This window comes from Homo sapiens, chromosome 14 (assembly GCF_000001405.40).
Source record: "Homo sapiens chromosome 14, GRCh38.p14 Primary Assembly".
In the NCBI taxonomy this organism is placed as follows: Eukaryota; Metazoa; Chordata; class Mammalia; order Primates; family Hominidae; genus Homo; species Homo sapiens.
The window spans coordinates 71,053,907-71,070,426 of NC_000014.9; the positions used below are offsets into that span (position 1 = coordinate 71,053,907).

The window sequence follows — 16,520 nt, forward strand, 5'->3', positions numbered from 1 at the left end:
CTACCTGTACATTCAGTCAGGTGCAGTATATTGTTTTGATTGAAGTAGCTGAAAAAAAAAATTCACCTTCACTCACCATGTTGGCCAGGCTGGTCTCAAACTCCTGATCTGAAGTGATTTGCCTGCCTTGGCCTCTCAAAGTGCTGGGATTACAGGCATGAGCCACCTTGCCCAGGCAAAAAAGAAGTATTCTAATAGCCTTTTAAGACAATCATGGATATTTTTCTTTGATCTTTCACTGAAACCCAAGAAATGGGAGCTTCTTAAAAGCTACTTGCAATATGGAATCTAAAACCATATCTGTGAACTTGTGGGACTATATTACATCAAAATTCACTCATCTGTCTTATATCCTGAATGGATCTTTTACCCATGCATAATTTTTTAACATTTTGTGTTGGTCATTTGGAAAATACTGCTTCACTGAGTAATGTAGATTTTCTAAATGTTGATACATTTTATTATGTAGTGAATTTTAAAATATGTTCATTGGCATCACCACCAATCGGAAAGAAATTTTAATTATTGGGAAGTTGTCAAGCTTATGGTGGTAGATAGGAGTTTCCCAAATTTTAATTTTTGCTTGAAAATTTGGATTTTTATTATTGTCAACAAGTATTGCCAGTTGTTTTCCTTGAAATAACAGGCTCACTTTCTTTATTTTTGGGAAATATCTGTTAAATGACCACATCTAAATAATCTCATAATTTTTCCATCAGTGTTAAGTAAAAATGGTGTTCCAAGAAAAAAACGCAGCTAGTTCAGCTCGGAGTTCAAGCAGTTGCACAAATACTTGCCCTCATGACAGCCGTTGTACTTCAGAAGGCAGCAGAAGTGCTTCATACGTATTTTCTCATTTTGCCATACAGAGTATTAAAAAGGCCTTTACTGTGAGTTGAGATTTATTAAGGTTAATACTTTTTATTGCTTCATTAGGGACATTTTTTTGTGAAACTTGGACTTTTTGTTTGCTTTATTGTGCAAGTGTGGCAGCGAAGGGTAGAACAGTTTGGTGCTGCTGCCTTGATTAATGCCCAGGCACCACAGTCTTACCTACCATTGCTTTAGTACCACCAGTGCAGTTGTCAACACAGTGTAAAAAGCAAATAACAGCTCAGTGTTACTTTGAAAATAGTTTTGATCTGGAAAACTGCCTGAAAGAGCCTTAGGTTCTGTGGACCACATTTTGGGAACTACTGTTCCAAAGAACATTGCATCACTGAGCATTAATACATACACCTTCCTTTGGCAAAGAATGTTCTAACCTCTTTGAATTTTTAAGAACCATATACAGTATACATTTTTTTCATCCTGGTCAGCTTTTTTCTCACAGTGCATGCCTAGATGTCTTTCCATACACTGTACAATAAAAAAAAAACTGCTATGTTCATGTGTGGTGAAGGGGGAAGAATTTTTTTTTAATTTCCAAAAGTGTGCTAAGGCATTTTATCATTATACTAATCACAGATTTTTTCCAGAGATTTTCATAAAGTGATAACCTTTATTTTATACATTTCCTATAGTTTCTTCCTCAGTCTAAATTGTTAAATATTTTTTAATGTAAAGAAAGTTACTAAAAATGTTTTATTTTCTTTAGCACAAAACGAGTGGATCATTCAAATACCAGATTGGCTTCCCAGCTTGATAGAAATCCAGGTAATAGCTCTATTTGTGACTAAGGAGGCAAGACTAAGGATTTGTTTTATATATATATGTTTATATTCACTCCTAACTTGTTGGGAATCCTCTATGAATCCCAAATATTCACTTTTAAAAACTAAATATTATTTGTTTTACTTTAGCAAAATATATATAAATTACAGTATCTACAGTTTATATGCCCATCTTTTTATAAAATGCATCTTAAGAATGCTTATAAGAATGAAAAATTCCATTCAAAGATTGTTCTTACATAGGTTAAAATGTAGAAAAACAGTTAAAATAAAACTGGTCAGATGTTTGAAGGGTCTGCAGTCAGACTGACACATGTTTTATTAGTATGTTTCCTTCCACCCTTCCCTCAATGTTTTGGTCAATATTAATTTAATTTGATTCAGTTTATTGTTTACAGAGATGTCATCAAGTGGGAGCATATAGCCAGTCAGGATAGAGCTTCAGTGGGTGACACCTTGCTGGTGTTACCATTATCTAAAGTCTGGTTCTTAGTTTTGTCATTTGGGAAACATCATTTTATTGGCCCACCCAATAGTAATCTGTCACAGAGAATCAGAGATTAGCATATCATCCAGAACCTCAGTGTATTAATTTACTAAAATAAATATTACTCCCAAATACACTGGAATATTTGTATCCATTTGACTTACAAATTCCTTCAAATCTGATTAATTCTCAGTGATAAAATTGGACTAAGGAGAACTAGTTATTTGATACTAATGACCATCGTCATCATGTTCTGGTAGAGAAAATAAGCATTTCAGCTCTGGTATGTGCTTGTAAAGGGCTAGATTTCTCATGCTGATGATGCCATCCTGCATAACCAAAGGCCATGCCCTGAATCAGTATATACATTTTTGTGTGTTGTGCTGACATAGAATTGATACAGCCATTTTGTTGACATTAGAATTTGGAGTTTCCCTTTCATTATTTTATTCAATTAGACTGGGTTTAAAATAATTATTAAGCTCTGAATATTTTACCATTCTCCAATACTATGCTTGGGGCATGCATTTACAGATTATCGCTTTGCATGAGTTACTTCTAGAGATGGTCATGTAATTTATTAAGTGATGTTTATTTTAATGTTTTTCTTTCTTTTTCTTTTTTTTTTTGGAGACAGAGTCTCTCTCTGTCACCCAGGCTGGAGTGCAGTGGCACAGTCACAGCTCACTGCAACCTCCACCTCCCAAGTTCAAGCAATTCTGCCTTCTCAGCCTCCCATGTAGCTGGGATTACAGGCGTGCACCATGATGCCCAGCTAATTTTTGTATTTTTAGTAGTGACAGGGTTTTGCCATGTTGGCCCAGGTTAGTCTCCTGGCCTGAAGTGATCTGCCCACCTCAGCCTCCCAAAGTGCTGAGATTCCAGGCATGAGCCACCACACCCAGCCTATCTTAATGTCTTTTTTTAAGGTTCTCTGTTGCTATATACAGTTTATCTCTGCTTAACATTAGCCATCTCAATATGGCTAATATTGACTAACCAGCTTCTTTTTGATTGTCTTATTTGTTCAAATCTTGTATTATTTTATCTACTTCCTTTACTAAATAGTCTTTTGTTCTTCTTCTGAATTCTTTTATTTTCCTCATTTCTCTTCCATGGTTTTAATTATAAAGCATATTTTATTGAATAATTACGAACTGTTGAAGAGGTCAAAAAGTCCTTAGATTGCTTCAAATCAAATTCTCACATTTTGTGAATGAGAACCATAGATTCCGGGAGGTTATGTGACTTCTAAATCTAAATTCAGAAACCTTTTCCATTTTCCTGTTTTACTTTTGTATAGAAACTGTAAGGGTATGAATGTTATTTTCCTTGTCAAATAAATATAACCCCATACTAGAAGTTTTTAATATTTTTAACAATCTTGTTTGTCAAGAGGACTTAAGGTTAAATTTAACTTTTTTTAAAATCTCTTTTTATAGGATCAGATGACAACAATCTGAATTCCATCTTTTATGAGCATTTAACTAGATCCCTACAGCACAGCCTCTGTGGTGATTTGCTACTAGGACGGTGGGGAAACTACAGTACAGGGGACTGTTTCATCCTTGCCTCTGACTATCTCAATGCATTAGTACACCTTATAGAGATAGGCAATGGTCTGGTCACTTTTCAGCTGCGGGGACTTGAATTCAGAGGTAAGACATTCATTCACCTTTTATTTCTGTAGCATACTCCTGTGGCACCTTAGTTTTACATGTTTCTATCTCAAACCAGAAGTTGTCATAGAATTAGATATTTGGGATTGTGGAATGAGAAAAGTTGTTAAAGAGTAAGTATTAGATTTTTTCACCCCACATTCCATATTCCAAGAAGAATCATGTTTGCAATATGGCTTTATATGTAAAGGTAGTAGCATTAGTGTGTAATTGATTTGTTTTCCTAGATATGTTGAATTTCTGTTGTTCTGTGCTTGGTCTCTTGCTGGTCCCTTTTGTGACCAGTTGCATAAATTTGTTAGGTGGCTAGCAGCATGGAATGCTGAATTTTTGTGTGAGGCAGAATAGTTAACTGAGTTATGTTCATATAAACACCATGCCTTTGTCTTCCAACAATTTTTTTTAATTGAGGTGAAATTCACATAAAATAAAATTGATATTTAGAGCAAAGAAATCACAGGAGCGTTTAGTACATTCACAGTGTTGGGCAGCCACCACCTCTGTCTCATTCCAAAGCATTTTCATCACTCCAAAATAAAACGGTGTACCCATTAAGTAGTTACTGGCCATTCTCCTTTCCATCAGCCCTCTACAATTTTATATACTGATAAAGTTATTTCTTTACAGAAAATCACGCATTCAGAAACATCAACTTTATGTTATCAATTCCTGTAAAACTGAATAACATGTAAGCACAAGTAGAAACTGGTTTCACAGGATGCTTGAAGTCCTGTTACTGAATATCTTTCCAGTCTAGGAAACATTTTGACTTGAGTTTTCAGAGAGTTTTTCATCTATTCTAAGTGCTTTGGAGTAGTTTTAGTCTGGAATAGAAATAAGAAAGCATTTGACTAGAAAGAGAAGGAAGTCAGATCTATAACCCCATAGCTTTATTTTCATCCTGGTGTTGCATAAGAAGGCTTGCACCTTAGCTATGTAGTGTCTATGTTAGTGGAGCAAGTACTAGTCTAGAAGTTACACTGTTTGCTAGAAATAAATCTTTAGCTATGCAGCACTCAAATTAATGCGGAGTAAATGTTGATGTTTACTTGTGATCTGTTTATAATCCATTCATATTCTCTTTTCCTTCAAAATATCTTATTCTTGCCTTATGAATATTTGTTTCTGCCTCTCCATCAGGAGCCTAGGACCTTAACTCCATCTCTTCCAGAGTCTTAACCCCAGGCTGTTCAATCCTAATCCAACTAGGCTCATCCAAAAGTTAGCATACCCTTACCACCATTCCTGCTACTGCTGTGACTTTTAGCTTCCTTTTTAAGTTTTGGCACCTGAAGACTTCATCCTTGTTTTTTAATTTTAATTTTTTAAAATAAATGTGCATGGGAGGCTGTTTTATCTAACATTTCTACATATGTGAAATGAAAGGGGGGGTGGTTCTTCTTACCATCTGCTCACTCCATCATATTGATCAGTAGTTCTCCAAATCAGAAAAGTTATCCAGATTTTTATTCTCTGGTATTGAGTAGATTCAGATAAACTTTTGGATAAATCTTTTGCTATCTAAATGCTAATTATTTGCCAATCAAAACTCAAATTTGAAAATACAGCAACCCTTACTCTTTGAACTCCTATAGATTTGGGTAACAAGGGATACCTGTAATTCTTAACTCAGACATTAGCATTTTTTTTTTTAAGAGACAGGGGTCTCGCTCTGTCACCCAGGCTGGAGTGCAGTGGCGTGATCACAGCTCACTACATCCTCAAACTCCTGGGCTCAAGGGATCCTCTTGCCTCAGCCTCCTGAGTAGTTGGGACTACAGGTGCACACCACCACTCCTGGCTAATTTTTTTTTAATTTTTACTTTTGTATAGATAGGAGTCTCACCACCTTGCCAAGGCTGGTCTTGAACTCCTGAGCTCAAGCGACCCTCCAGCCTTGACCTCCCAAAGTGCTGAGATTGTAGGTGCGAGCCACCACACCCAGCCGGGATTTTTTTAAAGACACATTTGATCATGGCATTCGCACGCTTACAATTTTTCAGTGACTTCTCATTGCATTTAACATAGAATTCAAATGCCTGAACACATCCTATGGTACTCTGTGATCTGGCCTCTGCCAGTTTCTCCATCCTCACTTTACAGCACTATCTGCACTCACTGTAGCCACACTGGCCTTCTTGCAGTTTCTTAGATGTGCTAAATTCTTTACTAAGGACTCCTTATTGCCCTTCATTTTGCCAGAAAGTGCCAGCCATCTCTCTTTCTCCCCTAATCCTCCATCTGGCTGATTCCTTTGCCTGAATGTCCCTTTCTCAGAGAAGCCTTCTCTAGCCACCTATCCCACGTGATTATCTCACTTTACCATGTTTTTATCGTTAGATTCTTACACAGTCATGGACTGCAGCAATGGACTGCACATATCACAATGGTCCCTTAAGATTATAATGGAACTGAAAAATTCCTGTTAGTGACATCGTAGCCATTCTGTCCTATCACAAAGCATTACTTGTGTTTATGGTGATGCTGGTATAAACAAAACTATGCTACTGGTCATGTAAAAATCTAGCACATACAATTATGTACAGTACATAGTACTAGATAATGATAATAAACAACTATGTGTTTATTATATTATGCTATACTTTTTATGGTTAGAATGTACTCCTTGTACTTAGAAAAAAAAGTTTACTTTAGAACAGTATGTCTTGTTATGCTAGTGGCAGACTCATACATCTCACATTTACTGTATCTCTTGATTGCATCATTTTCTCTGTGTTTGATTTGATCTTGTGTCATTCGATTTTATGGCCCCTACATGTGCAAAATTCACAGCTATTGTTGCCAGGAAGAGGCCACATCGAGTAGATTGACCAGGAAGCTAAATTAAAAGTGATTAAGGACTATGAAGGTGGCAAATCAGCAATGGTTGTTGTCAGGTAATTATGTCCCATTCCACCATAGCTGTGATCTTGAAGAACAAGAACAAAGTGACAGAAGCCATTAAAGGATCTGCTTCATTGAAGACAAAAAGATGAACAAAAATTTGAAAAGGGCCTAAATCATACATGGAGAAACTACTGAAGACCAGACACAGAAGCATATTATACCTCTCAGCATCATGACAATCACAGACAAAACAAAAAGTTTGTTTGCGATATTGAAAGATAAGATTGAACACAACTACAGTGTTGAATTTTCTGCTAGCTCTGTGTGATTTTATTCAAGAATTGTTATTTATTGCATAATGTGAAAGCTGGTGAGTGGTGAGTCTGTAAATGCTGATGTGAAAGCAGCTGAAGAATTTTTGGAACTCTAGATAAGCTGATTGTGAGGAAAATTACTTCACAGGGCAAATCTTCAGTATAGATGAAAGCTTGCTATTCTGAAAACAGATACTGGAAAGGACTTTCATCCATAAAGAGGCCAAGTCAATGCCAGGTTTCAAGTTATTAAGGACAGGATAACAGTCTTGCATGGGAGAAACGTTGCAGGTTACAAATGGAAGCCCTTTGTGATCTGGCCCAGTGAGAACCCCAGGGCCTTCAAGCTTATCACTAAGCACACACTGCCAGTGTATTGCAGGAGCAATCAGAAGTCTTGAATGACCCAGCTTTTCTTCCCAGATGCCCTCCTGAATTGCTCTGCCAGCACAATGGAGAAGTACTGTTTGGAGAATAACATACCATTCAAGATTGTGCTTATTGTTGATAATGCTCCACACATCCTCCTTTTATTGGTGATCTTTATCCCGGTATCAAAGTGGTATTTCTGCCTCCAAACACCCACCTCTCTGATCCAACCAATGGATCAAGAAGTTGTCGCAGCTTTTCAGACCTACCACCTGAGAAGGACATTTACCCAGGCTATTTCTGCAACTGAAAAGACACTGATGCAATTCTGGAAGGATTACATCTATGACTGCATCAAGAACCTTGCTTAGGGTGATGTCACCAATATGGGTATGAATGGCATCTGGAAGAAGACACTCAAGAGGTTCATCTGTGACTTCAAAGGATTTGCCAAGGATGAAGAGATTGCAAAAATCAACATGGCTGTGGTTGGGATGGCAAGCAACTTTAACCATGGTGTGGACAAGGATGACATTGATGAGCACCTAGAGGTGGTTCCTGAGGAACTGACTAATGAGGGGTTGTTGGAACTGGAACAGGAACACATAGCTGAAGAACAGGCCAGAGAAAGGGAAACAGCTAGAGAAGAAAAAGAAGAAACCCCAAGAAAATTCACAGTGAAGGGTTTTAGCAGAAGCTTTAGCAGAAGCTTTTTAAGGAGCTCAACAAGCTCCTTAAAAAGTTTGAAAACATGGACCATAACACCAAAAGGTTTTCATTAATAGAGAGGAATGTTCTTGCTGCATTATCTGCATACAACAAGCAAATCTATGATGAATGAAAGAAACAAACCAAGCAAACTATTGTGGACATAATTTTTCAAAGAGTGATACCTCCTCAAGAAGAGCCTCAGGCAGGTCCTTCAGGGGGTATCCAGAGGAAGTCATTGTTGTCATAGGAGATGGCAGCTCCATGTGTGTCATTGCTTCTGAAGGCCTTCCAGTGGGATAAGATGTGTAGGTGGAAGCCAGTGATATTGATGACCCTGAGCCTGTGTAGACCTTGGCTAGTGTGTGTGTTTGTGTCTTAGTTTTTAACAAAAAAGCTTAAAAAGTAAAAAAATTTTAAATTTTAAAAATATTTAAAAATTTTTCTAAACAAATTTTTAAAAGTTTTAAAACATTTTAAAATGTTTAAAAAATTTTTTAACAAAAAAGTTTAAAAATTAAAAAAATTTTAAAAAAGCTTACAGAATAAGGATATAAGGAAAAAATATTTTTATGCAGCTATACAATATGTGTTTTAATTTAAGCGTTATTACAAAGGAGTCAAAAAGTTTAAAAAAATTGAAAGTTTATAAAGTAAAAAAGTTACAGTAAGCTTAGGTAAATTTATTATTGGAGAAAATAATTAATTTCATGTAGCCTAAGGTATAGTGTTTATAAAGTCTACAGTAGTGTACAGTAACACCCTAGGCCTTCACACTCACTCACTACTGACTCAGTGACTCACCCAGAGCAACTTCCAGTCCTGCAAACTCCATTTGTGGCAAGTGCCCTATATAGATATACCATTTTTTATCTTTTTGCCATATTTTTACTGTACCGTTTCTGTGTTTAGATGTGTTCAGATACACAGATACCTACCATTGTATTACCGTTAGTGACATTATTCAGTACTATAACATGCTGTACAGGTGTGTTTAACCTAGGAGCAATAGGCTATATTATATAGCCAAAATGTGTAGCAGGCTGTACCATCTAGGTTTGTGTAAGTACATTCTATGATGTTTGCACAACGAAATTTCTTAACAGCGCATGTCACAGAATGTATCCCCATAGTTATGCAACATGTGACTGTTTATTGTTTAAAGTTTATTTTTTCTCTAGCCAAAGGGTTGGCCTACTTATTCTGTTAGGAACCAGACAGTAAATATTTTAGGGTTTGAGAGCCATACACATTCTCTGTTGCATATTCTTCTTTGTTGTTTTCTCTTTCTTTTAAATGACCCCTTAAAAATATCAAAACCATTCTAAGCTTGGATTTGGCCCTGGGCTGAAGTTGATCAATCTTTGTTTTAGAATATAGGCAGATTGTAAAGGGCAGGAATCACATGTACTTCATTTATCATTATGTACCCAGTACCTATCACACACAGCAATTAGTATATAATAAGTATTTTGTTAGTTTCGTAGACTGATTAAATAATGTAAGTGTGTAGCCTTTTCTTCTTTCTGTTCATTCCAGAGCTCTCATGAGGGATGAGTATACTCTTGCTCACATGTTGATGTGATCTTTGGTTACTTCCTTTTCTTTATAGTGTGATCCCCTGTCTCACCTACCCGTCTGCCAAATATTAATCAAAAGTGTCATTATTTTGCCAGGCAGATATTTGGATCTGCTGAGCATTTTATCTACTTTCCAAGACAGACTCCATTCAGCCAATTTATTATTTTTAAATTTTATTTGTCTATCCTGGATGCTTACTTTTAAGTAATATTGAAACAAGTTTCTTGATCAGTTTTTATAGCTCTTAGTTAAACCCATTCATATTTCTCATTTCCATTTTTATTTTACAGATACTCTAGATTCTTTCCATGTAAACTTTATGTGAAAAATTTGGGTTATCAGTCATTTTTTGTCTATATCAGAATTTTCTGATTACACTTTCTTTCATGTTAATTTTTTACTGATAAGTGTAAACTGTACCAGGTACAGTTTTAGAAGTCAAACTTTACACATCAACAGTATGTTCGGCTGACTGGATTCCTTTCCATTTTTACTCAGGTTAAACATGCCTTATTTTCATGATTGTTTGTTTTATTTAGTTTTATCAGTAATATTCACTATGAAGTGACTGGAAGATTTAGGTAATCCAGGGAACAGTTGGTAATAGTTCCTCATAGAATCCCTATTAATTAATATTAATAATTGAAAACAGAATATCTCCTAGTAATACATTTTGCTCAGAAAAAAAATCTTTTTTCAATTATTAATATTGCTATAATTATTGACTTCATTTTCTGAGCAAAATATATTAGTAGGGCATATTGGGTGGAAATAGTCATGGGATTAGAATGGTAGAGTAAAAACATTCTGCTTTAATTCAGGTATCCCATTCTCCTTATTCTGCTGCTATAAACAAGGACCTCAGTTGGGTAAATGTCCAAACTTTTACATTTCCTCTTGCCATGTATGATTTCTGTCCACCACTAACAGTGATCTGCACAAAATACAGCTCTTGTGTTATTTCGTCATTTAAAAATCTTTGATAAACTTCCTGGAAAGAAAGAAAAATGAAGTAGTAACACATAAAACTAAGAAATAGTCTCAACTTCATGTTACAATTTTCTTTTAATATACTTTAAGTTCTGGGGTACATGTGCAAAACATGCAGGTTTGTTACATAGGTATACACATGCCATGGAGGCTTGCTGCACCCGTTAACTAGTGATCTACATTAGGTATTTCTCCTAATGCTATCCCTCCCCTGGCCCCCATCCCCCGACAGGCCTGGGTATGTGATGTTCCCCTCCCTGTGTCCATGTGTTCTCACTGTTCGGCTCCCACTTATGAGTGAGAACATGTGGTGTTTGGTTTTCTGTTCTTCTGTTAGTTTGCTGAGAATGACAGTTTCCAGTTCCATCCATGTCCCTGCAAAGGCCATGAACTCATCCTTTTTTATGGATGCGTAGTATTCCAATGGTGTATATATGCCACATTTTCTTTATCCAGTCTATCATTGATGGGCATTTGTGTTGGCTCCAAGTCTTTGCTGTTGTTAACAGTGCCACAATAAACATACATGTGCATGTGTCTTTATAGTAGAATGACTTATAATCCTTTGGGTATATACCCATTAATGGGATTGCTGGGTCAAATGGTTTTTCTAGTTCTAGATTCTTGAGGAATCGCCACATTGTCTTCCACAATGGTTGAACTAATTTACACTCCCACCAACAGTGTAAAAGCATTCTGATTTCTTCACATCCTCTCCAGCATCTGTTGTTTCCTGATTTTTTAATGATCGCCATTGTAACTGGCTTGAGATGGTATCTCATTGTGGTTTTGATTTGCATTTCTCTAATGACCACTGATGATGAGCTTTTCTTCATATGTTTTTTGACCACATAAATGTCTTCTTTTGAGAAGTGTCTGTTCATATCCTTTGCCCATTTTTCGATGGGGTTGTTTGTTTTTTTCTTGTAGATTTGTTTAAGTTATTTGTAGAGTCTGGATATTAACCCTTTGTCAGATGGATAGATTGCAAAAATTTTGTCTCATTCTGTAGGTTGCCTGCTCACTCTAATGATAGTTTCTTTTGCTTTACAGAAGCTCTTTAGTTTAGATCCCATTTGTCTATTTTGGCTTTTGTTGCCATTGCTGTTGGTGTTATAGTTGTGAAGTCTGCCCATGCCTATGTCCTGAATGGTATTGTCTAGCTTTTCTTCTAGAGTTTTTATGGTTTTAGGTCTTAGATTTACATCTTTAATCCATCTTGAGTTAATTTTTGTATAAGGTGTAAGGAAGGGGTCCAGTTTCAGTTTTCTGCATATGGCTAGCCAGTTTTCCCAACACCATTTATTAAATAGGGAGTCCTTTCCCCATTGCTTGTTTTTGTCAGGTTTGTCAAAGATCAGATGGTCGCAGATGCGTGGCATTATTTCTGAGGCCTCTGTTCTGTTCCATTGATCTATATATCTGTTTTGTACAAGTACCATGCTGTTTTGATTACTGTAGCCTTGTAGTATAGTTTGAAGTTAGGTAGCATGATGCCTCCAGCTTTGTTCTTTTTGCTTAGGATTGTCTTGGCTATGTGGGCTCTTTTTTGGTTCCATATGAAATTTAAAGTAGTTTTTCCTAATTCTGTGAAGAAAGTCAGTGGCAGCTTGATGGGGATAGCATTGAATCTATAAATTACTTTGGGCAGTATGGCCATTTTCACAATATTGATTCTTCCTATCCATGAGCATGGAATGTTTTTCCATTTGTTTATGTCCTCTCTTATTTCCTTGAGCAGTGGTTTGTAGTTCTCCTTGAAGAGGACCTTCGCATCCCTTGTAAGTTGTATTCCTAGGTATTTTATTCTCTTTGTAGCAGTTGTGAATGGGAGTTCACTTATGATTTGACTCTCTGTTTGTTATTGGTATATAGGAATGCTTGTGATTTTTGCACATTGATCTGTATCCTGAGACTTTGCTGAAGTTGCTTATCAGCTTAAGGAGATTTTGGGCTGAGACAGTGGGGTTTTCTAAATATACAATCATGTCATCTGCAAACAGAGACAATTTGACTTCCTCTCTTCCTATTTAAATACCCTTTATTTCTTTCTCTTGGCTGATTGCCCTGTCCAGAACGTCCAATAGTGTGTTGAATATGAGTGGTGAGAGAGGGCATCCTTGTCTTGTGCTGGTTTTCAAAGGGAATGCTTCCAGTTTTTGCCCATTCAGTATGATATTAGCTGTGGGTTTGTCATAAATAGCTCTTATTATTTTGAGATAGGTTCCATCAATACCTAGTTTATGGAGAGGTTTTAGCATGAAGGGCTGTTGAATTTTATTGAAGGCCCTTTCTGCATCTATTGAGATAATCATATAGTTTTTGTCATTGGTTCTGTTTATGTGATGGATTACGTTTATTGATTTGCGTATGTTGAACCAGCCTTGCATCCCAGGGATGAAGCCAACTTGATCATGGTGAATAAGCTTTTTGATGTGCTGCTGGATTCTGTCTGCCAGTATCTTATTGAGGATTTTCTCATTGATGTTCATCAGGTATATTGGCCTGAAATTTTCTTTTTTTTTTTTAATGTCTCTGCCAGGTTTTGGTATCAGGATGATGCTGGCCTCATAAAATGAGTTAGTGAGGAGTCCCTCTCTTTTTATTGTTTGGAATAGTTTCAGAAGGAATGGTACCAACTCTTCTTTATACCTCTGGTAGAATTCGGCTGTGAATCTGTCCAGTCCTGGACTCTCTTTGGTTGGTAGGCTATTAATTACTGCCTCAATTTCAGAACTTGTTATTGGTCTATTCAGGGGTTCAACTTCTTCCTGGTTTATATGTGGGAGGGTGTATGTGTCCAGAAATTTATCTATTTTTTTTCTAGACTTTCTAGTTTATTTGCATAGGGGTGTTTATAGTATTCTCTGATGGTACTTTGTATTTCTGTGGGATCGGTGGTGATATCTCCTTTATCATTTTTTGTGTCCATTTGATTCTGCTCTCTTTTCTTCATTTGTCTGACTATTGTTCTATTTTGTTGATCTTTTCAAAAAACCAGCTCCTAGCTTCATTGATTTTTTTGAAGGGTTTTTTGTGTCTCTGTCTCCTTCAGTTCTGCTCTGATCTTAGTTATTTCTTGTCTTCTGCTACCTTTTGAATTCGTTTGCTCCTGCTTCTCTAGTTCTTTTAATTGTGATGTTAGGGTGTTGATTTTAGATCTTCTCTGCTCTCTCTTGTGGGCACTTAGTGCTATAAATTTCTCTCTAAACACTGCTTTAGCTGTGTCCCAGAGATTCTGGTACGTTGTGTCTTTGTTCTTATTGGTTTCAAAGCACTTATATATTTCTGCCTTCATTTCGTTATATATATCTAGTAGTCATTATAGTAGTCATTCAGGAGCTGGTTGTTCAGTTTCACAATTAAAAAAAAGGCTTTGGAAGTTTCTTCTAGAAATTTCTAATTAGTTGTAGCACATGGAGAAAAAAGCTAAATTTCTCCAAGCTTTTAAAAAACTAATGTAATACTGATATCAAAATGTGACTAAGTGGGTTGGGCACAGTGGCTCACACCCATAAACCCAACACTTTGGGAGGCCTAGGCGGGTGGATCATCTGAGGTTTGGAGTTCGAGACCAGCCTGACCAACATGGTGAAACCCCGTCTCTACTAAAAATACAAAAAAAAATTAGCCAGGCATGGTGGTGGACACCTGTAATCCCAACTACTCAGGAGGCTGAGGCAGGAGAATCGCTTGAACCCAGGAGGTGGAGGGTGCTGTGAGCAAAGATTGTGCCACTGCACTCCAGCTTGGGTGACAGAGTGAGACTCCATCTCAAAAAATATATATATGTGTATATATATGTATACATACATGTATACATATATGTGTGTATATTTATGTATACGTATATATATGTATTTATATGTATATGTATATATGTATGTATATGTATATATGTGTATATACATATATATGTGCATATGTATACACACACACATATATATGTATATATATGTATACATACATATACTGTGTGAATCCGTCCAGTCCTGGACTCTTTGGTTGGTAGACTTTTTAGGTTTGTATGTACGTGCGTGTGTGTGTGTGTGTGTGTGTGTGTGTGTGTATAAAAATATATATACATATATTGTTGCATGTATAGTCACAAGCAAAATTACAGTTATTTTTTATGTGAACATATACATGCATATATGTATGTATATATAATATACAAATAACATTTATATATTTTATATACATTATATATTATGTATACTTCTACACATACATACATATATGGATATATACATTTTGTATACATGTATATAAGTTCACATAAAAAATAAGTATAGTTTAATTTTGCTTGTGCCTATAGATGCAAAAATCCTGCAATTGCAAAGTAAGCAGAAACTAGCAGTCCTTTTTTATAAGTGCCTATATTAGTCTGTTCTCACACTGCTGATAAACACGTACTCGAGACTAGGTAATTTATAAAGAAAAAGAGATTTAATGGACTTAACAGTTCCATGTGGCTGGGGAGGCCTCCCAGTCATGGCAGAAGGTGAAAGGCATATCTTACATGGCAGCAGGCAAGACAGAATAAGAGCCAAGCAAAAGGGGAAACACCTTATAAAACCATCAGATCTCTTGAGACTTACTTACTACCACAAGAACAGTATGTGGGAACTGCCCCCATGATTCAGCTATCTCCCACTAGGTCCCTCTCACAATTATGGAATTATGGGAGCTACAATTCAAGATCAGATTTGGGTGGGGACACAGCCAAACCATATCAGTATCTCTAAAAAAATTGAACCATTTTTCATTTTTAAAGTCAATTTAAATATTAGCAAATTAATAGAATTCTATTTTAAAAGGTCACTGTAGTAAAACATGATCCTCTCAAAAGATGTCAGAAGATGTTTGATTAATTTCATTTCTATTATTGGTTTAAAAGACACTTTATAATATTGCATATGTTTTTATTATGTTGAAAAACATGTGTATGTATTACTGGCATACCTTGGAGATATTGCATGTTGGGTTCAGACCACTGCAGTAAAGTAAGTATCGCAGTAAAGCAAGTCACACAAATTGCTTGGTTTTCCACTGCATATAAAAGTTATGTTTACATTATATGGTAGTGTATTAAATGTGCAATAGCATTATGGCTAAAGAAAGAATGTACTACATATCTTAATTTTAAAAATTTACTGCTAATAAATGCTAAGGATGATCTGAGCCTTCAGTGAGTTGTAATCTTTTTGCTGATGGAGGGTCTTGCCCCGATGTTGATGGCTGCTAACTGGTCAGGTTGGTGATTGCCGAAGGTTGGGGCAGCTTTGGCAAGATCTTAAAATCAGACAACAATGAAGTTTGCTACATTTATTGACTCTTTGTTTGATGAAGGATTCCTCTGTAGCATGCGATGCTGTTTAATAGCATTTGCCCATAGTATGATTTCTTTCAAAATTGGAGTCAGTGCTCTCAAACTTTTTGCTATTGCTTTATTCATCAAGTTTATGTAGTATTATAAATCCTTTGTTGTCATTTTAACCAAGGCTCACAACATCTTCACTTAGGAGTCAATTTCTTCTCAAGAAACTGCTTTCTTCTCAACCATAAGAAACAACGCGTCAGCTCTTTACGTTTTATCAGGATATTATAGCAATTCTGCCACATCCTTCAGATTTCACTTCTAATTCTGCTTCTCTTGCTATTCCTGCCATATCTGCAATTACTTCCACCACTGAAGTCTTGAAACCCCACAAAGTCATCCATGAATCAACTTATTTCAAATTCCTATTAGTGTTGACATTTTGACCTCCTCCCATGAATCATGAATGTCCTTACTGGCATCTAAAAGGGTGAATCCCTTCCAGGAAGTTGTCAGTTTACTTTGCCCAGACTCATCAGAGGAATCCCTCTG

At 36.2% G+C, this 16,520-nt stretch overlaps 1 protein-coding gene across 24 annotated transcripts in view; it reads left to right on the forward strand.

Annotated features, from left to right (window-relative positions):
• Nucleotides 1-16,520, forward strand: part of PCNX1 (pecanex 1) — a 207,924-nt gene that overhangs the window by 146,448 nt on the left and 44,956 nt on the right. For 23 of the 24 annotated variants that reach the window (XM_005267420.5, NM_014982.3, XM_005267422.5 and 20 more), the window contains 2 exons: nt 1,598-1,656; nt 3,603-3,818. In XM_005267420.5, the coding sequence (XP_005267477.1) occupies nt 1,598-1,656; nt 3,603-3,818 (275 nt within the window). Of the gene's footprint in view, nt 1-1,597; nt 1,657-3,602; nt 3,819-16,520 lie in introns of those variants that run through there. The other variant, XM_047431130.1, reaches the window with a different exon arrangement.